Source organism: Homo sapiens, chromosome 13 (genome assembly GCF_000001405.40).
Source record: "Homo sapiens chromosome 13, GRCh38.p14 Primary Assembly".
NCBI classification, from domain to species: Eukaryota; Metazoa; Chordata; class Mammalia; order Primates; family Hominidae; genus Homo; species Homo sapiens.
Genome location: NC_000013.11, coordinates 84,565,257 through 84,590,551, shown reverse-complemented (window position 1 = coordinate 84,590,551; position 25,295 = coordinate 84,565,257). Strand labels below are relative to the sequence as shown.

The 25,295-nt window shown below is 34.1% G+C and overlaps 2 long non-coding RNA genes across 3 annotated transcripts in view; one reads left to right on the top strand and one right to left on the bottom strand.

Moving 5' to 3' along the window:
• LINC00333 (long intergenic non-protein coding RNA 333) overlaps window positions 1-25,295 on the bottom strand; it is a 466,167-nt gene that overhangs the window by 16,217 nt on the left and 424,655 nt on the right. The gene's annotated exons all lie outside the window — the stretch shown is intronic.
• The window catches only part of LOC105370289 (uncharacterized), a 159,166-nt gene continuing 153,405 nt past the window's right edge, over window positions 19,535-25,295 (top strand). For both annotated transcript variants that reach the window (XR_942134.1, XR_942133.1), the window contains exon 1: window positions 19,535-19,627. This is a non-coding gene — a long non-coding RNA (uncharacterized LOC105370289). The remainder of the gene's footprint in view (window positions 19,628-25,295) is intronic.

Sequence of the window (25,295 nt, the reverse complement as noted above, 5' to 3'; positions counted from 1 at the left end):
CCATGTTTGGAACATACATATACTAAAAAAACTAATTGTTGTTTATTTGAAATTCAAATTTCACTGAGCTTTCTCTATTTTATCTGGCTACCCTATTTGGGAAAAACATTATGCTCTCAGCTGTAGAGCTTTACTTCCTAATTTTCCCTCTGTCATTTCAGCAGTAAGAAATACTAAATTATACAGTTTCTCCTCCATTATTATGGTAAATTACTAAAGACTGAAATAAAAGAGAAAAATACTTAATTAAAATTCATTAATTTAATCATCCTATTAAATTAAAAAATATTGAACCCATTCCCTTTATGTTTACTAAGTGAATTTGACTGAAGTAATATTCATTCCCTATTCATTAATACTGTTTATTATTTTATATCAGTTAAAATTTTGTGGTGCTATTTTGTGTACTTCAAGTCACAGATTGCTTCCCCAGAATACTATGTATATTGCCTGGCATTTATTTTATAATTTGATAAGAATTTTTTTTGTTGTACATGAGTATCTGAGAAAGAATACTATTTCAACTTTTTCTCTACGTTTCCTTCAATACTCTCTGGAGTAGGATGGAAGAGGAGGACAGAGACAATGAGAGAGAGGAGGCAAGGTTCCTTCTTGGTAACTTTTCTTTTAAACTTTCTTTCAATGCACAACCTTTTTTTTTTTTTTTTAGAATATTCAAAGATTCTAATATGACCTCTATTTACATAAATCTCAAATCAAAGATTGTGCTAACCAATGTATCTTACTTCTCTCACAGGTCTAACCCCCTTAGCAACTTCGTAACAAAGTGGTATGGAATGAATATAGAAACTTTTTATTTTATTTATTTTTATTTATTTATTTATTTTTTGAGACGGAGTCTCGCTCTGTCGCCCAGGCTGCAGTGCAGTGGCGCGATCTCGGCTCACTGCAAGCTCTGCCTCCCCGGGTTCACGCCATTCTCCTGCCTCAGCCTCCTGAGTAGCTGGGACTACAGGCACCCGCCACCACGCCCGGTTAATTTTTTGTATTTTTAGTAGAGACGAGGTTTCACCGTGTTAGCCAGGATGATCTCGATCTCCTGACCTCGTGATCAAGGAGGCCTCGGCCTCCTCAAGTCCTGGGATTACAGGTGTGAGCCACCATGCCTGGTGGAATGAATATAGAAACCTTTGAGTTACAGTGGCTGACATTATCTATAGTCTTTAAAATTAACGCATGAATTTGGGGGTTAAATGGTACTTACATACTTATGTTAAAACAACCCAAAAGGTCTGCTCTCTTTGTTGCTGGCTTTTCTTTTTATCTAATATATTTTCCTATCGAATCTTAACTATCTACCTTAGTGTCTTTAAACTCCAGTAAAACCATCTTTGAAATACAGAAGATATTGAAGCACTAATATTTTGTATCAATATTTCAACTAAGATACAAAAAGTCAATATATACAAATACATATATATACACACACACACACATATATATATATTTACTTTTCACCAATTGCGTGAGTGTGAATCTCTGTATGTACATTGCTTTAAGTTAATGCTGTCTGGGAGTATGAACTTCTTCCTTTTATCCTATAGAAACAGGTTCTTCTGAACCCCACATGTGAGAAACTGTATGTCACCTTGGCTTAATGAGCTCCTTCTAGTGCTCCTTTCTTTTTTTACCAAAATTACAGCAACTCCAATGGTGGGCTTCTTCATATCTAGAGCTGGCATCAGTATTCTGTTTTGTTGTTGCAAATGCCTAGGAATGCCCTTTTATTATAAGTCACCTAGCATAAAAATCCTTGGAAATTATTGGCGCCCTGCCTATTTGACTTTTAGATATTTCCCTGGAGTGATGTAAAGAACAATAACACAAATCATAAAGATATTAATAATTATAATAGTAGAAATATGTCAAGCTTAATGGCTTAGATAATCACACCATAAAAAGGTAGAGGATTTAAGAGGATTTAATTAAGAGAAGAATTTCTTCTGGAGGCCTAGCCTGGTGTATTCCCCTTAAAATTGATTTATTTGTTATAAGTTTACCAAATGGTTCAAAATTCATAGCACAGCACATCATACGCTTAAAAGAGAAGTTTGAGACCTATCCATTTTGCAATGAGTAAACATTTAAAGAGTTTTCTGAAGTTTTTGGTTGATCCTACAAGATTTAACTTTACAATAGTAAATAAGTGTGCTAATTTTAGAAACACTTAAGATTAAGCATTTTAAATCATCCCCTTATTCATGACTTATCATTCATGACATATGAGATATCATGAACTTTCCTCCACAGTAAAAACTTTCAAATGCAGTCTGGGAAAATAGTAATTTATAACATGATTTATTATGTTATGTCATCACCTTCAAATAATTTATGTGATTATGTTTATGTGGGGCAACATCCATCACATGTCAGTAATACTATAAATTTGAGCTATCCTTTGCATATTTGCCTTTATTTTCAGTTCTTGTTCATGCTTGGAGGGCTTTAAAGTAAAAATTCAAAAAGTTAGAACACGTAAGTACTTTTTAAAAAATCTCACCCAAGCATGCAGAATCGTTTAAATAGTCCAAGCAAATTCATTTAAATGAAGAAACATTTAAAAATGAATCATCTGCTATAGAGCTACTTACATTAATTCTTCTTAAAATGAAATGTTTTAAAGTTCATTTACTCCTAATAATGCAACAAAACAGTTTTCTTTTCTCGGTTTAATTAGCTTTTATTTCTAACAGCTATTTTAAAATACCCTACATGCTGTAAATCTTCATTATCTGAGCCTGAGATTGGCCAGGTGTGCCAAAAGAAAATAAGATAAAATACACCTGTATGTAAATTCTAGACCCAAATAAGTCAATATGTAAAATATCTTGTATCCAATGATTCAACTGAAGGAAATGAAAAATTTTGTCACTCCCAAGTGACAAAAAAATTAAGTTTGTCTTAGGAAAACAAAATATCTTTGGAAAAATACCAAACATAGACTATAATAATATCTGAGTGGATAATTTTACAAAAGTCTATATAATTTTTTGTACTTTAAAAAACTATTTTACAGCATGTATTTGTCTTTTTGAAAAACAAAATAAAGGAACTTTTCTCAGAACACCCCCTACCATAATGAATATATGGATAAGAGCCAGAAAAACAGACCTAGAGTTCTAGGCCCACCTTTCCCTTTACTTTTACAGTAATCTTTAACAAGATATGTAACATGCTATGTGTTCAGTGCCCTTCTCTATGCAATGATGTAATTGTATTTAAAATCTGTAAAATATTTAAAGTCCTAAAAATATACAATTTGACAACTCAAAGTTGTCTTCCAGCTTTTCTTCTCTCTAACAAAATGAAAGGTCTAAATAACCTGTGAGATTTTTAATATTCTCAAAATTTGATCCTCTGAATGTTTTGAAGTTACTGGTTAATGATGTTATTCAATTTATTATATTAAGTAGATGAGTGTGTTAAGAACTCTTTGTCTCATATTTTAAAAATGTAATCAATTCCAATTTTTAGTCTGATAACACATCATTACAATCTAAATATAACCCTGTTTGTAAGATTAACTAAGATTATTAGTGAATTTTATATCAATGTATTATATGCCATAAGCATTGAAATGTGGGCTTTCTTTTTTCACTTTGATATCATTGGAGTTAATAATCTGACTCTCCCTGAAAATCATCAGAGCTAGGGTATGAAAAGAGGATAAAACAAGGAAAACATAGATGAGGGAGAGGTAAATAAAGAAAGATAAAATAAACCATAATGTGTATTATAGGTAGTTTCAAAGCCTGAACGAAAACTAATCACTGTAAAATGAATTGTAAGCTTTCTTTGCCAAGCCAGTTTGAACATTGTGATCAGATTAAAATCCTGGTAGATTTATATTGAATATTTTAATATAAAATAATTATGTGAATGTTCAGCATTATGGCTAACACATAGGGAATTCAATTATTTTGTTTTTTTACTACAAATCTGATTACAAACGTTATGAATTGCATAAATGTTTAGTTTTATTTTCATTTAATTAGCATTAATTCCAATATTTGATTTTTTTCATATTTTCTATTTTTACCGATCATTAAGTCCAACAAACTTATTTGTTTGGATGTATTAGGTAGGAAAAAGAACAGGATAGTGAGTAGGACTCTGACAATAACCTCTACAAGCTTACAATATGGTATGAGATGGGAAAAAGGGACTAAGGATAAAACACTGCAGTATCTTGTAGGTTAATTTTTAAAAAATATACAATAATTAAAACATGAATGAATATGTAGCAGTAAGCAGCAAAAAAGAATAGTTCTAACAAATAGGGAAGTAGGAAAAGCTAAAAAGTCATATTTGATCTGGGTCTTGAAAAATAAGTTTTAATTAGATTTCATGCATTTATTGATAAAGATAACCTATATAAATTAAATTTGAGTGTATTGAATGGCATCAATAATGTGAATTTATTAATACAAAATATTGGTTGAAATAGACTGTGAACATGGGTTTTGCTTTCAAAACTGATTTGCATTTATTTTATACCTAAGAAATCTCTTTAAAATATTGTGTTTAAAATATTATAATTGACTCTTTCTGAATTACTGTTGACACATATCTGCTTTTGTGTTTTTAGACAGGAATCTGGGTTAAATGTACTTTGGGAAGTAGGTTCCATATTGCCAACAAGTGAGATGTCTTCAAGCAGCACTAAGGGAGATATTTTAGCAAAATTTATGCTCTAAATGTGTATAGAAATTGCTGTTTATCAAAAATTAATATACTCACGGATCCCTATAAAATATGTAAAATATTAATGTTATATATGAAACTTATAGTTTAAACATAAAACTCAGGAAACAAAGTGCAATATCCACTCATTTCCATATGTAGATCATTATACATGCATAATACTAGGACAATGAAACAGATGCTAAACCAGATTTCCTTCTCACACAAATACACAATAATATTGATTCATTCATCAACAATGTGATAAATATTCCGGACATGCTACTAGGTTCTGGACTTATTGTTGAAAATATAAAGGACAAGATCCTTAACTAACTCATGCTTAGGTTGTTATCTGAGATGGATACATGGTGAAGCTATACTGAATTTTGTTCATGAGATAATGAATCCCTACGCAGTTTGGATCTATGTAGTATTTCATCTTTTAAGTAATTCAATGTGATAAAATCTTATAGAGCATGAATAGGGCATTTTAGGCCCCTGAATTTCTGGTATTTTCCTTTCTCTAAAGAGGAGAGCCCTTTCTCTAACAATTTAAAGAAAAGGAAATCATTAAAAGTAACAGATAGACAGAGGTAGTGCCCAAACACCTCAACCCATTGGTGGAGGGGTAAGGATAGTCTTATCTCAGAGAAAGTGCCTTTTTCTCCTTTACCAAGGTATTAAGTAGTAGCCAGGTCAGGGAAGATCCATCTTTTCACATTTGGCGGTCTTTTAACTTTAGTACATTTCAGAGTTGCTTTGCTGGAATTTCTTAGACTTAATTTTGATTAACCTGAATACGTAAGAATGAACCTGCAGTGATTTCCCACCACATATACAATAAAAGAGCAAGAGTAGTTTTTCATTGATTTTTGAGCTCATTTTTCAAAATTTCAGCATCCTATCCCTATCCACACCCCACTTGGGCAGAACCTCCCCCTTTACACCTGGAATAGAGAAATGGAAAAGACAGGCTGACTACAGATAGACTAGTTTCCAAGAAAGAAAAAGACAGAGAGACACATTACCAGTGCATGCACAGCATCTTCTGCTAAACCAATCAATCAGAAGAATAATTCCTATTGTTCCTGCCTGCCTAGGTCACATGGGGCACAGAGCAGAGGGCAGTAGGAAGCCAGGATCTCCCACTGCAGGCAGAAAACATTAGGAGTGGAAAAGTAGCTCCCCTCCCACCACAATAATGCCCATTTTGCCCATATGCAAGCTAGATGATCTGACCTCCTATTATTCTGCCCCTCCAGCTACATTGAACTCCTGATTTTTGCTCCAAGACTGTAAGCATGTTCCCATTTCAGGGAACTCTAGTCTCAGAACTTAAAATGTCTTTTTTTTTTTTTTTTAAAGATTCCCTGCAGTTTGTGACCTTGTTTCATTTGGGTATCTTTTTAAATGGCAACTTATCTGACAGGCCTGCCCAGACCACCCTTTCTAAGACAGACTAATGCTTTCTTTGATTCATAGACATTGTGACTATTTGACGTTACAGAAAATCACTACATTACAGAAAATTATTGCAATATGGAAAATAATTTTTATTATTTTCTGTTTCCACAACTAGATCTTAAGTTTTGCAAGGATTCTGTTAAATACATTTCCTGCGGTGTCTGCTCCTCCTGTACAGTGACTAATAAATTGTAGATATTCAATATTTGTTAAATAAAGAAAAAGAGTAAGTGGCCTCTTTATGTCTAACAGGGGAAATCACAAAATACTAGGTTTATTCTCCTTTGAAGCACACATAGTTTTAAAATAATTGCAAATCAAATAACTTTCGCAAAGCCAAGATTAGCAATGAGATTTAAGCTTTTTTTGTGGTATCAAGAAATTAATTTTAGCCATCTTGAATCAATTAAAATAGGCAGTTTTAATTTGCAAGTTATTTATAATACCTACAAAAAACCCAAGTTTAATCATATATAATAAGTTAAGCAGATTGATTAGACAGATTTAGGTTTTTAAGTCAGACAGATTTGGGATAAAATCTCTATTTAATCACACAGTCTATGACCTCAGACAAATAGAATAGTTTTTTTCAAATCTTAAGACTTCATTTTGAGACAGGTAATATTGATACAAAATGAATTGCTTATATATATTAAATTATTTATAGTATATAAAACATACACAGCATAAAGTAAATGCTTTACAAACAGTTACATAACAACAACACTGCAAAACAATAATTATATGAAAACAATCTAAAATGTAATGTTTATATGCAATTGTGCAGAAGTATATCAATCAAATTTTTGGTTGATATAAAAAAGTACTGAATCATCCCTGATGATCTACATCAGTTGGAAACCGGAATGTCAATAGGAGTCAGGCAGGTAGCCTGTGAATGAAGCTGGATACAGGAGGACTGTGGTAGGCTGGAACTCATGCTTCATCTCAAGGCAGCAGCTGAAGCTCATCTCTGGCCAATTGTTGCCCAGAGATAAAACTGGACCACTATTGTAGGTCTACTGTTGTTGCTTTTTTATTTTGTGTGGATTTTTTTTTTTTTAGAAATGTATGATTTTATAATATTGACCACTCTGCATACCAAACAGCATACATCTTCCTCAAATTTCCCTATTTGTTAACATCTAGAGTAGACATTGCATTTCCATGTATGAGGACTGCAATTGAGTGCATAAAGGTCATTAGGATTTAAACCTATTATAAACTGGATCCACTTATTACACTGGTATCAATACTGGATCATATCTCTGTTGTCTCCATTTTACTGTGAGCACAGGCTAAGCAATGATCATGTCTTGATCATGCTTGTATCATAGTACCTGTTGCAATGGTAAGTCCATAGAAGCCATTATTCTAGTGTTATCACTGAATAAATCCTGATTGAAGGCCTGGACTTCTATACGATTATACCTGCGGTGGCTGGGAATAATAGCAGCCCTCAAAACAGTTAGTGAAATTCTTGGATCAGCACAACCAAGAGAGGGAGGATCATAAGAGACGAAGGGTAGAATCATTCAACTGAGAATGTCATGTGTCATTTGTGTTTTCCCATGCTACTGGAATTCGAAGGTGAAAATGTTCTTTTTGAAGAAGATGTCTTGGTTATTGCAAGACATATAGCATCTCTGACCTCTGTCCACTAAATGCCATTAAAGCATCCTGATCATTATGAGAAGCAGCAGTACATGTTGTGCCCCTGTTGAGAACCACAGAAAGTGGAGGGTATTAGTAAGAAGTGAGTAGAGTCATTGGCCGATGTAGTGTGGAAACAGAACAATGCTTCTCTTTGGCTCCTCTGCAATTGGAGTCAAAGATCTAAGCTTTCTGAATTCCATTCACATTAAGTAGAGAGTTCCAGGGTAAAGACTTGGTTCCGTCATGCTCCATTAAAGGAAGAACAATTCAAAATGTAGTCTTTCAAGGAAAGCAAAATTTTAAATAAAAAAATATCAACTTGAAATATCTGATCCAAATGGCTAATGACAGACCAATTTCAGAGCAGCCCAAGAGTGCAAAATCATGAGAGAATAAGCTTGAAAGAAAAGTAAGGAAGAAATACTTAGTAAAATTGCTTAACAATATCCACCTCCTACCTTTATCTCTTTAAGCCATTTGTATTTAATTAAGTTAAAGGGCTACCATTAATTAGAATGGCAGAGACAAAGGAATTATTCTTTCTCAATCCCTGTGTCTATAACAGCACCTAGAACTTAGTGAGTTCTAGGTGCTGTTATAATATGTGTAATAATAAGTATTACACATATAAATAAATATTCTTTGCACCAATGAGTGAACAAAGAAGCAGTCAAATCAGTGTTGAAATCAGAGAGGTGAATTCCTTCTTGACTCTCTTCTTCGCACATTCACCCTTTGATGCCACCCAATCCGTTAATAAATTCTTTATAAGGAAAGGTATGCAAATTCAATATATTTTAACATACTGATACGGTAGTTTTCCTTTCCCTTTCTTGTTTTTTTTTTTTTCTTTTCTGCTCTATTTTCCTTCACTGCAGTAAATGTGATATACATTTTGGAGAACTGAGGAAGGCCAAGACTAATAACTTTCTCATTTCTTGTGTTTCATTTCTTCTTCAGTTGCTGATGCCATGAAATGTTTTTTTGTTTTTATTTTTTGGTTTTAATGGATTATTGATTTGCTTTTTAGAGAGTTTATTATGACAAACAAAGGGCACTTGATGAGAAAAGTGATAAGAAGGACTTGAAGGAGAGAGAAACAGAAGTTAGTAGGCCTCTGGGTATATTAGAATTGGAGAATATAGCCTGGAGGTGCCAGTCAAGTGCTTCATAAAGGACCATTTGAGAGCACTGTTGTTTAAATATCTTGGGGCTTTGTTGAATCAGGCTTTCTTCTATTGCTTGCACTCTAGTCCACCTGCCGTCTGTAAGGGTAAAACTCCACCATGCCACCCTGCTGACCTTCAGCACGTCTGAATAGGCCACATAGGTAAAGGCTTGAGCCACTGCTAATTTGAGTCTTGGAAGGATGTCTTGTGATCATGTTCCAAGAAAAACACAACAGGATGGCAGGTTTGCAAAGATCTGGTGAGGCATTTACTCACTTACTTCCATATCTCCCACTGCAGGCTGTCATAAGACAATTTTCTGTACCTCCTAGGTTCTGATGAGGTACGGGGCTTCCAGCCTTGCCTCCCTGATATTAGAGTTGTAGAATATAAAACCACTTAGTTGCAGTCTAAAAGGGGCTCCACAGCAAAAGGGTACTCTACAGTTTCCAATGTAGTCATCTAAGCCCTCTTGTTTTGTTTCAGTGTTATCATTTTTGGTGACTGAAACAAAAATCAGGAGGAGCAGGCATTTTTTGCTTATTCTTCTCTTCAGCGTGTATTTACATTGTAAAATTTTAAATTCTAATGTTGGCTTATTTTATCTGTTCTAGTTGAGTTCATCAGGTCTTTGCCTTGCTTTGTCTTTTATGTGTGAGCTGAGACACTATCCAATGATCATGCAAGGAGGTAACTGTGAAACATCTGTACTAAGAATTCTCACCAGTAAATCATTCAGAGAACTCCATGCCAAGTCTTTCTGCACCACGATTCTTGTTCCCCACTGTATCAGGCAACCCTAGAAACATTGCACTCCAGAACACCTCTAAGAAAACTCCCTAACTTCTAAGAAAACTAGGTGATCCACAGACATACAGAGCACTGATTGAGACGAGCATGCCTGTTACTGAGCTTGTTCTCAAGTTGAGAGAAGAGGTAGGTTAATGAAGAGTGGAAACTTGCTTTTCTGCTAGACTCTATTTCTAAATACATGTTGATTTTATTCTCATGTCTACAAACCCACTGTTGAGAAACAGGACTAGCTGGATTTCCTAGGCCGACTAAGAATCCCTAAGCCTAGCTGGGAAGGCGTCCGCGTCTACCTTTAAACACGGGGCTTGCAACTTAGCTCACACTCGACCAATCAGGTAGTAAAGAGAGCTCACTAAAATGCTAATTAGGCAAAAACAGGAGGTAAAGAAATAGCCAATCATCTATTGCCTGAGAGCACAGCAGGAGGGACAATGATCAGAACATAAACTCAGGCATTCGAGCTAGCAACGGCTACCCTCTTTGGGTCCCCTCCCTTTGAATGGGAGCTCTGTTTTCACTCTATTAAATCTTGCAACTGCACTCTCTTCTGGTCCGTGTTAAGTTACCACTGGAGCCGAGCTTTCGCTCACTGTCCACCACTGCTGTTTGCTGCTGTGGCAGACCCGCTGCTGACTTCTGTCCCTCCAGATCCGGCAGGGTGTCTGCTGTGCTCCTGATCCAGGGAGGCGCCCGTTGCCACTCCCGATCAGGCTAAAGGTTTGCCATCCTTCCTGTACAGCTAAGTGCCCAGGTTCATCCTAATCGAGCTGAACACTAGTCACTGGGTTCCACAGTTCTCTTCCATGACCCACGGCTTCTAATAGAACTATAACACTCACTGCATGGCCTCAGATTCCATTCCTTGGAATCCGTGAGGCTAAGAACCCCAGGTCAAAGAACACGAGACTTGCCACCATCTTGGAAGCGGCCTGCCACCATTTTGGAAGTGGCCTACCACCATCTTGGGAGCTCTGGGAGCAAGGAGCCCCAGTAACACTGTCACCAAATTGGACAACTAGAATAAAAACTAGAATAAAGATTCTGTGGCAAGCAGCCAGAAAACAAGAAATAGATAAAAGAAAACAAAACAAAAACATTCTGATGGCAGAAAAAATAAACCTTTTCATAAATTTGGTAAATGTTTTGTTGTCTCTTAATTTACGAATGGGAAAAGATAACGAACTTGGCTGGATGTGGTGGCTCACGTTTGTAATCCCGGCACTTTGGGAGGCCAAGGCAGGTGGATCATTTGAGGTCAGGAGTTTGAGACCAGCTTGACCAACAAAGCAAAAACCTGTCTCTACTAAAAATACAAAAAACTAGCCTGGCATGGTGGTGCACACCTGTAATCACACTTACTGGGGAGGCTGAGACAGGAGAATCACTTGAACCCAGGAGGTGGAGGTTGCAGTGAGCAGAGATCACACCATTGCACTCCAGCCTGGGCAATATGATAAGACTCCATCTCAAAAACAAAAAAAAAAAGAAAAAGCAAAGATAAAGAACTAAAAGTAGTGCTCGTCACACACATCTGTGTGAAGAGACCACCAAACAGGCTTTGCGTGAGCAATAAAGCTTTTTAATCACCTGGGTGCAGGCGGGCTGAGTCCGAAAAGAGAGTCACTGAAGGGAAATAGGGGTGGGGCTGTTTTGTAGGATTTGGGTAGGTGGCAGAAAATTGCAGTCAAAGGGGGTTTTTCTCTTATGGGCAGGGTCAGGGGTCACAAGGTGCTCAGTGGGGGAGCTTCTGAGCCAGGAGAAGAAATTTCACAAGGTAATGTAATCAGTTAAGGCAGGAACAGGCCATTTTCACTTCTTTTGTGATTCTTCAGTTACTTCAGGCCATCTGGACATATATACGTGTAGGTCACAGGGGATTTGATGGCTTAGCCTGGGCTCAGAGGCCTGACAGTGCTAGGGATTGGGTCATCAAGAAGTGCAAGTCACAAGAAAGTGCATTAATGATTATTGAGTACATTATTAATTCCCTATCAGATTGGAAAGTTCCAGATAGTGATGACCCAATGAGATATAATTAGTTACAAAAAGTAGATGAATTGGCCCAATAAATAATTTTCAAAATGAAAATAATTAAAAACAATTAATTAGAAAAATATTTCAATTTACACTGTTTTTATTATAGAGCAACATAACAAATGCCCAATAAAATAATCCAATCAAATAGATTACATTCAGGTAGAATCCTGTAAAAAAGGTAAATGGAAATATTGATTAACAGGTAAATGGAAATATTTAAAATTGCAGCCAAATAACATTTTTGTAGGTATTTTTACATGAATGACAGTTAGTATAAAATGACTTTAGATTCTATTGGTTATATTTGTTAAAAGAATGGTTTAATTTTGTAATGTCAATGGTCTAGTTTTAAAATGTCATAATTTATAATATAGTAAAAATTGCTCTTTTAGCAACACTTATAATTCTGATAAAAATATTTGAAATATAATTTTAAAATGTGCAAAGCAGTGTATCATTTTTCAAAACATTTTGGAAAAGTTTTGAAAAAAATGAAAATGTACTAACCATTGTTGTTAAACAGGTTTATGTGAAGGGCTGGGCAGAATTATTTCCATAGTGTAGACTCCAGATCAATCTTTCAGATGTTGATCAACCACTCCAGGAATGAGAATTACGGATTTAGGCCCTATAGTTGTTAAGTAAACAAATACACACACACACACACACACACATATACACACACACACAAACATCCCTTTGTCAGTATAAACGTATTTTCAAAGCACAGTACAGACACTGTAGCAGATCTTCATATGACTGACAATATGGTTCTTCTACAATATAAATTTGACCTTATCAATCACCTGATTCAAACCACCCAGTGACTTTCTATGTTCCTGAGAATAAAACGTAAATTTCTTAATATGGTCTGTAAGGCACTTCATGATTTCCTCTCATTACCTTTTCAAAATTATTTCAAATTATTCTCTTCTTTAATGTGTTGCAGATACAGTCATGTGTGGATTACAGACAGGAATATATTCAGAGAAATGTGTTGTTAGATGATTTTGACACTGTGGGAACATCATAGAGTATATTTACACAAATCTAGATGGCATAGACTACTGTACACCTCAGCTATATGGTATAGCCTATTGTTCCTAAGCCACAAACATATATAGAATGTCACTGTACTAAATACTGTAGGCAATTGTAACAAAACGATATTTGTATATCTGAACCTGTCTAAATGTAAAAAGGTACAGTAAAAATATTATAGTATACTATTATATTATGTTAATAGTATATTATATTAATAAACATAATATTTTTATTAATAAATACAATATTTCATTAATAAATTAATAAATATAATAATAAAATATATTACTATAATATATTTTAATGTATAATATATTATAATATGTATTATAATAAATATAATAATAAAATATGATATTAATATTAATATTATACTATAATATTATATATTATATCATACTATAGTGGGACCACTATTATATGTAGCATGTCATTAACCTAAACATCATTATCTGGCTCATGACTGTAAATAGTTAGCTTTAAACTCCTATACCATCCAACTCTTGTTCATTTTAGACCTTTACATTTGCTGTTTCATTTCTTTTTTTTTTAGGTTGCTCTAAATTCATTGTGTTTTTAAGTTTTATTTTAATTTCAATGGTTTTTGAGGAACAGGTAGTTTTGGTTGCATGGATAAGTTATTTAGTGGTGCCTTCTAGATTTTGGTGCATCTGTCACCCAAACAGTGTACACTGAATCCAATATGTAGTCGTTTCTCCCTCATCTCACTCCTACTCTTTCCCCAGAGTTCCCCAAAGTTGATTATATCATTCTTACGCATTTGTGTTCTCATAGCTTAGCTTCCACTTAGAAGTGAGAACATGTGCTATTTGGATTTCCGTTCCTGAGTTACTTAGAATTAATGGCCTCCAACTCCATCCAAGTTGCTGCAAAGGCCTATTCCCCTTTCTTTACATTACTGGCTTTTCTTTATTCTTTGATTCTTATTTCAATCATTTTTTTCTCTTCTCTGACTTCTGTCTACCTTCATTTCTCTAAGAAGGCTTTCCTTCCCTCACTCTGCTAATCTCTACCTCAGCATTTTCCATTTTTAATCAAGGTATTTATAACAATTTTTAATGACATACTTTTTTGTCACTGATTTACATGCTCTTTATTTGTCTGTCCATCTGAGTTGCATCAAAGTTTATAAGACGACAGATTATGCTTGTTTCATTCATCAACATATGCTTATAATATGGCCTCATGTCTGAAGCTCTTTAATGTGTCTGGAAAGTAAACACATTTGTGGTGTTTCATAGTTTTTTGTGTCAGCAGTAATAATCTGTCTCTCTGGCAGTCACACTGTAAAGCCAATGTTTGTGCTTAAGGAAATGCTAATCCTAAACCTTCTGGATATTTCATTAAAATAATAATGTCTGGTATATATTGTGTTATAGTCTCCTAAAGAATTAATTTTAAACAAAAAGCCATTCAGATATAACTGAGTTAGCAATATGGACACATAAATTTTAAACCACCTGTTATATCAATCTAATCATTTCTTGCCGTCTTGGTTTTCTTCATCTTACCTCAATTTAGCATCTAGTTTTTTTTGATAATAAGTGGATATATTTCCAAAATGGTCACTATATAGCAAAATCTTTCATTTGTAATTTATGTATATTATTTAATTAAATATTTATGACTCTTCACTGGAGTAGTCATTATCATCTCTGTTTTATCAGTGAGGATATTGAAGCATAGAGAAGTAAAATAGCTTACCAAAGAATAAAGACTGAGATTTCAATCCATATTTGTCTGCTAAAGGGCCACTACTGAAACCTTGATAAGAATTTATTAACCATTTACTTTTACTTTCAACTTTAGAGAAAATTCATGTCACTTCAAAACATGTGAGCATACTAAAACAAAGGCTCCTTAACATGACAGAATTTTTCAAAACAGCCTCAAAATACAGACCTATTTTATTGCTGGAGGCACCATGCTTAAAATAAAAAGTGTGATTTTTTAATAGAGTAAAAGTTGATTTTTTTAAATGGCAGAAAAATATTCTAGCAATCTGCCAGAAAGAAATGAAGAGTAAAGAAGATACAGAACTGAAAATAGCTAAAAACAAGAAAACAAACAAAGAACAAAATACCTCTTGTAAAGATCATGGAGGGTTTATGTTATCTGGAAAGAAAGAATGTGCATGCCATACTTTATTTTTCATTTTGTTTTGCTTCTTAGTTCAAGGTTAGAAATGTGAAATCCAGTAGATTACAAGTTACAGTCTACATAGCCTACATGACAAGCACAAAATACTGTGGAAATCTTCTATTTTTTTTTGTTACTATTTTTTCCTGACTTTAAAACGTGTCTGATAACCAAATTATAAAACTGATTAGAAATCATTACTGTAACTTCATTTATAGTGTTTTTGATGTTTGCGAGATATAAGAGAAGAAAACATATTTAACTCAATTATGGTTTTCTTTATAATTGAGATTATCCAGATTCCTCAATTTTATATGAAAATCTGTATAATTATAGAAAATAAAAAATTGCATAATTTAGCTTTAATGTTAAAAACCCTCCTCCTACCTTTACTAGTTTAGAAAGGAACAGCAGGCTTTGAAATTAATATGAGCAAATCCCATCAGCAGAGGGCAGAAGAGATGACAATCTCCATGTGAAATATAAAACTGCTTTTCATTAAGTAAAACTATGCACACTTTTAAGCTTTGTTTTTCAGCAGTCTGTATTCTAATATGCATTAAAAAAGAGTGCTGCCAGCAAGGAAAACAACAAACAAACAAACAAAAAATACTCACCAGAAATTCATAGTGAAAGAAGCAACTATTACAGAAGATATTTACCCATTTTATGGAGACAAAAGTCTAGATAACAGTTGTATATGCTCTTTCCCTGCAAGTCCAAGGACACTTGAATGATCCTTTTAATTCCAGAGACAAGTAGTTTTTATTAGCTTTTATAAGATTCAGAGCCAACAAAGATACTGTCTCAAGATGATTATTTTTATAGTTCCCTTTGTTCCTTCTTTCCTAATATCCATCAGACAAATTATGTGGGTTTTAGACACATGTACTAAAATGTTCTTAGTAGTGGTTACATCTGTTCTGTTCTATACAGAGAAACTTAGTTATTTGATATATTATTTAGTGCCCTTTATATCTGCTTCTCTTTATTTGATTTACAGAGGACTTTTGATGTTTGCACTCTATTATTTCTAACTGGCAGTGGTCTTGTGTAAAAATATGTGTATGATTATTATATACCTTATATTCATAAGGAGGTTATATTCACATGAGTAAATCACATGTATCCTCAGCTTTTATTCTATTTTTCTGACCCCATTTAGAACAAAATCCCACAGAAATATTTCATTATTCTCCTCACTCTTTTCCTTCTTTCTTGAATTTAGATAATGGCTAGCATGAATATTATAACTGAAAGATTATCAAGTCAGAGGGTGACTACATTAGTCATATATATTTTTTTCCATTTTCTTAAATCAGTTAACTAAGACTACATACCACCTGGCTTCCATAGCACCACTATTAATGGCCATACCATCTCTCAGTCACTAATAAATATCAACAGAGTCCTATATTCTCATATTATGTCCCATTACCACTACTTTGGTCTTCTCACTTCTACTGCAAGGATCAATACAGGCCTCTGGGTCTAAGAGTGCTCTTGACAAGGCATATGTCCCAATACCACTACACTTACATCTCATCAAAATGTTCAACTTTAAGATCACCAAATCTCATCTCATTTTGAACCACAAGAAGTCTTAAGACTCAGGTCACCTCTCATCTCATGTAGTCAAATCCCCATAAGGCTCTGCCTTTTCTCTTTATGACGCCATTGACTTCCTTTCTTAAACTCTGAACTCTTTATACCATGCTTGTTGGGACTGACAATCAATTATCTGCAAAATCACCTCTATTCTGAACTTTTGTCCTAAATGTCTTCTTTGGCTTCTTAGTCTAACTTGAAAATGGCTCTCTCCTGGGAACACGCATTCTCTTTCTGCCTTCAAAACTCTTAGCTACTTTCTCTTCACACATTTCACACTATTGGGCCAAGAAATGTGCTAAGTGTTCTTTACACTGCTTTCTGATATTGTTTTTTTTTTCTCTTTCTCTGTTAGGCACTTCCAACTTTAAGTCATGTGATAGCACACCATAGTACCCACAGAAATGTTGCATCATTATTTCATAGTATCCAATATGCCTGATTGTTATAAAGTCCCTAGGTTAATTGCCTTCACTCAGTCGGTATTCTGTCTTCTAGCTCTCTGTTACTCTCTAATATTACTCCTATTGTAAGTACGCATAATTTTAGTAACAACTTTGATTGTTCTTCCAAACCCCTTGACTTTCCATTTTTTGACTTCATAGATTTCAATAATTTTGTCCTCCTCCTAATATTAGCCACTTAATCCCGTAGTTGTGATATAGAATCTCTAATCACAGCAACTCCCTCATTATTTTGATCTCAATATCTTTCTACTCTATCCCCAGAGTACAGCAATTACCTAATTGTTATATTTCTCTTCTCAACAAGAGCCTAAAATTAGCTTAGATCACTTATTTTCACAAATTATAACCCTCTTCATTTCTACATTTTCATCTTATATAGATTAAATTATCTGTGACAGCATTATAATCAGTCCTTTGTATATAGCTTTAATTCTCATACCTTCTATTTCTTCCTAGTCTTTTGAGAAAACCCTAATCTTGTTTAAGTGATGTCTCTACCCACTCTGATTCTATAACTAGATAATGATACAAAGCACAAAAAGCCTAACAGTCTTACTGCAAATCTGTGGTTACTAAAGTGACCACTAAATGCTGCCCAGTCATTGTATCAGTGTTTCATAATCTATTCATTATACTACTCTTCTAGAAGACAATTACATTTTCTCCTCTCTCCTCAAGTTCGTTAAACACCTCCCACTTTTCCCATTGCCTCATTTATGCCTTATTACACTTTCTCTTTTACTGGCTTCCATTGCCTTTTTATTGAGGAAAATATCCACCTATCTGTCAGCATCACTAACCATATTCTCTTCCTTTCTTTCTCCAACTAAAGATGAACAATCTCTGTTCCTTCCTGGGGCTATCCTGTCTCCTTATGCATTGAACCCATCCTCTCTTGCCTATTCAATATTACTCTGGCAATTCAATCTCTCTCTCTTCCTTTTTCACTTCTCCCTTAATATTTTTCCTCATTTAATGGTATTATTTCCTGCAACATGCAACTGCAGTAATTTATCTCATGTTAAAACACACACATAAACACACATATATTAGTATCTATAAAAGCTAAGCATTAGAAAGCCCAAAGGCCAATTCTTAGGCCTCATCTTGCATAACTGTCGGATAACTATTTTCCTCTTAAACACTTCATTTATTTAACGTATATTTTGTTTGTTTGTTTGTTTGTTTGTTGTTTTGAGATGGAGTCTCGCTCTGCCACCCAGGCTGGAGTGCAGTGGTGCAATCTTGGCTCACTGCAACCTCTGCCTCCCAGGTTCAAGCAATTCTCCCTGCCTCAGCTTCTGGAGCTGCTGAGATTACAGGTGCCCACCACCATGCCTGGCTAATTTTTAATATTTTTTTAGTATAGATGGGGTTTTGCCATATTGGCCAGGCTGGTCTTGAATACCTGACCTCAAGTGATCCACCCTCCTAGGCCTCTCAAAGTGCTGGAATTACAGGCATGAGCCACCGTGCCTGGCCTTATACTTTTAATATAGAAGAATGTGCTTTTTATGACCACATAATGATAGTCATGTGATGTTAGTAAAATAAGACAGAATAAACTTTTGCTTCCCTCAAAATTTGCTTCTTGTAGGGTATCTGTTCAAGGCTGAGAAAAAGAAACTGTGAAAATCTATTAATAGTATGGTTGAAACCAAGGGGGAGCAGGGCCTTGTGATTCCAACATAAACAGAAATAATAATATTTAAATATGGAACAAAGAAAGGAAGGAGGTAGGCAGAGAGAGAGAGAGGGAAAGGCAAGAAGGAGAGAAGTAGGGAAAGTGGGAAAGAACAAAGAACAACAATTGCTAATTGATATGGTTTCACTCAAATCTCATCTGAAATTGTAATCCCCACGTGTTGAAGGAGGGAGGTGATCAGATCATGGGAGCAGTTTCCCCCATGCTGTTCTTGTGATAGTGAGTGAGTTCTCATGAGATCTGATGGTTTTGTTTGTGTTAGAAAGTTCCTCCTTCACTCTTCTCTCTCCTGCCACCTTGAGGAGAACGTGCCTGCTTCCCCTTCTGCCATGATTCTAAGTTTCCTGAGGCTTCCCCAACCATGCAAAACTGTGAGTCAATTGAATCTCTTTCCTTTATAAATTACTCAGTCTCGGGCTGTATCTTTATGGCAATGTGAAAACAGACTAATACATTAAATTATTAGGGCATTTTCCTATATTCTAGTTCATTCTAAACTTCAACTAGAAGTCTACGTTTAATGTGGTCCAGGGTCTTAAATGATGGATAAAATGGGCTTTCATCTTACATATTTAAAGTATACAATTTCAGTTTTTGAAATATCAGTGCTCTTTATATGACATAAACAACCTATCAATGAGTTCACAATCCCTAGTAGAATACTCATGAACAGTGACTCAAGTATTTGGCAGAGATAAGTTGAAGTAAACCAAGCTGCATGGGTCCTGACACACAAGGCCTGCCACAGGAACACTCAGCCCCAATTCAGTATAGTTTTCTATTGACTTGACTACTCTGTAAGTAATTTCAAAAGATACAAGAAATGTTGGTTATTGCATTAGTATTAATGTCATATACGCTCTATAAGGAAAATGATAAGGCATAAATGAGGCTAAATTATGAGCAATAGTTACACAGTTAATTTGTTATTTGTTAATAACACAGATAGGAATGATACATCTTTGTTATTGTCAGGAGCAGCATTCACCATGCTCCCTCATATGTGAAGGCAATTATGAATGAGCAATTCAAGGTCTAGTGTAATAATTGCAGACAGTTTCTTAGTGAAGAGTTACAACCATTATCTAGTAATACCTAAAAACTGTAATGTTTTTTAAAGTTTGTATTTTGAATAATGGCTTATTTTAACTTATTAGCCTACTAATGACGCACTCTGTTTAGCTTCAACAACCAGCCAGTAAATTTCCATTCCTAAGGTGGTTCCAAGATGTTATGATGAAACAGGCTGTAATTTGTTAAAAAATAGTTAGTTCTTATCATGTACATGGGCTGTTATAATAATAATAATTGTTTCCTTAATGTGCTTTTATCATTGCTTCATAGATTTGATTATCAATCTGATGAATATTATCTATTTTCTACAAGGAAGGAGTGGAAAGATCTGTAAGATCCAAAATATATTATAAAATAACTAGAGCAGTGCAGTGAGAGAAAGAACAAATTAATTAGATAAGCATAAATCAAATATTTTTAAGCTTATTTGGAATCAATTTATATTATTAATCAGGTGGTTTCTTATTTCTCCTTTATTATCTTGTCTTTTAAGAACTTCTTTTTGTTATGTGGAAAAAATTCTGTCTTGTAGGTATTGACCCATCTTTTTACATATGGAATACTCTTTTAAATATGAAATAATCATAATTTTTCATTCAAACATGGTGTTTCAAAAATGAGATAATCAAAAACAACATAAAAAATTTCCTTGAAAAAGCTAATTTATGTAAACAATTCTAATAAACTTTATGTTCTTCATATTTATAGAATATTGTGAATGTATAAAGTTTTCAATATACAAGAATACATTCTGAAAACCTCAGGCAATTGTCACTGTCATTTAGAATAAATAGTATCATGTAATAAATACCTGACTGAGAAATAAAGAATAAAATAGTTATAAAAGAATTAAAAATTGTCACACTTCAGACAAAATGCATTTTAAAATATTTTCTCAGCATCCTCTCATCCATATCATGTTAGAAACCTCTTAGGTATTAATGATGTTTGGAGTAATCTTGGTGAAATCACTACTAAAACTTGCTGGAAAGAGATTCTTTGCTGATGCTTTGAAATTTGAGAGTAAGTCCCTGCAATACACTGAGATAGACTACTCCTATAATGCACTGTGAAATATGTGCAGTATCATTTTTTAGATCTTGTTAACTCTGATTCATAAAATGTGACATTTCTTATGCCATTTGCAAAGCAGTTAATTTATCCAGCAAATCTCATGATATTCTCTACACTCGAAAAGATTTACTATTTAGTAATAAAAACTGTTTTGGAAGAGGTAGAAGTGATATAGATGTATAATGTGATAAATATGAGATTGTGTTATAAACTGTAAAGTAACCCACTCTAGAATGCTGAATTATTAACTTCCAGATCAACAAGGTGCAAAACAACTACAATAAAATGTTAACTATCAACTTGGCACAATATTTTTTTGTAGCTGTACCAAAGTTTTAGTCTCTAAACTTTTAATTGTACATACTTCTCTGAAAAGTGTCTCTGCAGAAAATTGTGCTGTTGGTAAAAAATAATATCACAGAAACAAGTTGCATGAAGTATTTGTCTTCAGTTTTTACTTCTATAGGTAAATGTTGAAAATATACTAATTAGTCATTTGTCACAACGTCAAATGCTGTTATCTAAACATTAAATTTTACACCTTTAGCAGTTTTGAAATGCCAGGAAACACAATGACTCATATCTTTTCAGCATATTTTGAAGTAATGGAGATTCTAATGTAACTCATATTTGGAAAATAGTGTATAATATGATATATCCTGTAGAAAACCAATAAATATGAAGAAAAGAACAAATACTACCTGTCAATCATAAATATAACTATGTCATTACGTTATATAATTGCTTGGCTACACACTTATAATTTGACTATTCCTAAAGAAAAATTATTAAAATATTACTTATGTCATCCTCTTTTTAAAATAATGGTAATTAATCTTTAAATAAAGCTATGAAATCATTGTGTTTTATAGTATTTTTAAGTGGCTACAGCTTCTTTAGAAAATAATAGATTTATACAATTCTAAAGTGTGTTGCAGTTGTCTGTAACCTAGAAACATTATAAGTGCTCACTTCTTAAAAATATATATGAATTTTTAAATATTCCCATAAACAATAATTGATGTAACTGCAGGATGAATGGGTAATCTCAAGTACAAAACACAATTTTTCAACCATTAAAATCACCATGAAACATGTAAGCACTGTAGATCCTCTATCATCACTCATAATCATCCTTACATTGTTATAAATCATCTGCTAATATTTACTGGAAACTTTCTTGGTACACAGCATTTTCTTAAATAATAAGGAGGTTTTGAATGAGATCGTTTGTGGAGCAAGGAAATTTATGTAGCAAGCGTGAGATAATATTGCTGGCAACCCAGAAAGAATCAAAGAAAAGGATTTTAGTATTTAGTTGTACAGCAAGATGGATGACTTAATCACTAGATTTCCAATAGGATCTACTTCACAAGAAAAAAAGTAGTCAGCAAAAAGAAAGAAAATGATTCCCAAGAGTCTGCTTGCAATGAGAGTGTGCAAGAGTTAGGAGTGTTGGTATTTGGAAGGCAATAATGTCTCACCAATTGTAAGCAGAGGAGGGACAGAATGAGGAATTAGAAGAAACAGGAGTGAGAGTGAAAGAAAGAGGAAGTAAAGGTAAGAGACAGAAAATTAAGGGACAGAAGAGAAACGTTTCAGCAGCAGCAGAGTTTGAAAGGAGTACAATAAGGAAATATTTTGAAAGCAATTTTACAGAATTTTCACCTAGGGTTTGCTTTCAAAAAACCCCACTAATTTTTGCATTGTTTTTTAAAGATTTAACTCAGATATTTTTTTAAACTGTAATAATGCCCTGGGGAAATCCCATATTTAAGAAATGCATTTTCAGGCTTTTAATGTTTTGGTTTTAAGGTACAATGAATACTCAGGTGCATCTTAGATTAAATTTTTACCCTAACTTGACAAGATCACCTTTTCCCTATCTGACTATAGTCTTATCATTAGACTTCTGACTCAAAGGGCTGTCATTGGTCAGACCTATACTTTAAAATCATGGGAAAACAGTAAAATACAATTGAGGTTTGGGAGAAAATATGCTATTTGAGATTGGACATGCTAGAATGAGAATCAATTTTTGATAGGTTAAAGAAAGCTTACTACATAGATGAAATGGAATAAAAACCACCATAAACTTACAACCTGGAAATATATCATTAGCCAACTATTAGAGACTGAATATTTGTGTTGTGTCCCCACAAATTCGTATGTTGAAACCCTAACACACAAGGTAATGAAGATTAGGAGATAGGCTCTTTGGGAGGTAATTAGGTCATGAGAGTGGAGCCATGTAAGGATACAACAGAAACACCAGTCTGCAACCTAGAAGAGGGTCCTCAAGACCACAGCCATGCTGGCCCCCTGGTCTTGTATTTCTAGCCTATGGAACTGTGAGAAATAAATCTTCATTGTTTAAAACCCACCCAGTCTACGGTACTTTATTATAGCAGCCCAAACTGACTAAGACACTCATTTTCCAGGAATACATAATGTATTAAGAAATTTGAGGTGTTTCTGAATATAAAAAATTGAAATTATTCCAGGTTTTTGCTCTAACATACCTTGGGATTCACTCTTCTGAGGAATTGGACTCTACTCTGGGACTGAAATCTATCATGCTTTAGAAATGCTAGTATTGGATGTTTGCCATTAGCAAACATTAACTGGAAAATGTAATGAGAAGCCTGGAATGCTGTGCCAACAATCAGAAGATAAAAGAATCACATAGGGATGCCCAAACAGTTTGGGCAAGAGGCATTAATTTGTGGAAGACACACCGTGACAAGATAGCTAGACTAGATATGCCGTAACAGACATTTTAATTCTCCTCTGAGCTCTGAGTCTGATGTGTTTGGGTTTTATCCGTGTAACCTGAAGTTAAAAAAAAAAAGATGTAAATTATGCGAAGATTCTGTTTATAGGTGTTTGTTTGCCTGCAAGAGAAAAAGTAGTAGACAATGCCACAGCCTCAATCACCAACAGCTACTTAGGCACTCTGTAAACAGGGAAAATGATGAACAAGCAAAACCATTCTTAGAGAATGGTTTTTCACAGACTAAAAATAACCATTTTCTCATTTCCCTTCACGTCCAGCTAATTCTCTTTTGCAGGCCCAAAGAGCAGGTGTCAGCAGATTTTATTTTTATTTTTGTAAAAACTAGACAGTAAATACTTTAAGTTTTGTGGGTCATATGGTATCTGTTTCCACTATTCAACTTCACACCATCACACACACACACACACACACACACACGCACACAAATCTCTGTTCAGACAGGACTCAACTGAGAAACCAATGCCTGTGGGTACAGGGCCCAGATTTACACTATCATCATAGTATAAGAATCTCCAAACCAATGGATTAATATCAAAATAAATATCTGTGGCACTTAGCAAAACCTAAAACTGGCTAAAAAACATCACAAGTTCATGAGATCCTCACAAAAAGAAAACAGTGTGGTTGAAGATAAAATCACAATGTAAAAAATGAGATTAATCCAAATGAGTTAATTATAGCAGATAAATAAAAGAGGATTGTAGGCCTAAGAAATTTTGAACATGAAAATGGAAAGTCTATAAATTGTAAAGAAAAGAAACAGAGAGACTGTAAACAAAGAGGACAGGTAGATTTAAACAAAAATAAAATTATGGAAATTAATTGTGATGCTTAACTTTATGTGTTCATGTGGATGTGGCTAGGCCATAGTACCTAGGTATTTGGCCAAACGCTGGTTTAGATGTTGCTGTGAAGGTATTTTTCAGACATGATTTACATTTAAGTCGGTAGGCTTAGAGTAAATAGATTAACTTCCATAATATAGTGGACCTCATTCAATCAGCTGAAGCCCTTTAAAGAAAAAGACTGAAATCCTCCAAGGAAGTTGAAATTCTGCCTCCAGACTGCTTTTCAACTTGGGTTGCAATATCAACTTCCCTGGGCCTCCAGTCTGCTGGCCTGCCCTGCAGAGTTTCGATTTGCCAGCTCCACAATCACATTAGCCAATATATATCTGTGTATGTATATAAATACATATTTTATGCGTGTGTGTATATATATATATATACACATATATACACACACACATATATCCTAAAGTTTCTGTTTCTCTGGAGAACTCGGACTAATAAATAAATCAAGTAGCTCTTGCAATTAAGATAAATGAAAAAAATTGTAGTGGGTTTTTTTGTAACACACTGAAAGATACGTTCATGTTCTAATTAATGAAACCTGTAAACATTACCTTATTTGGGAAAATGGTTTTGCAGATTTAATCAAATAAAGAATCTTGAGATGAGGAGATCATTCTAGATTATTCGGGCAGGTCTTATTCCAATGACAAGTGTCTTTATAAGTGT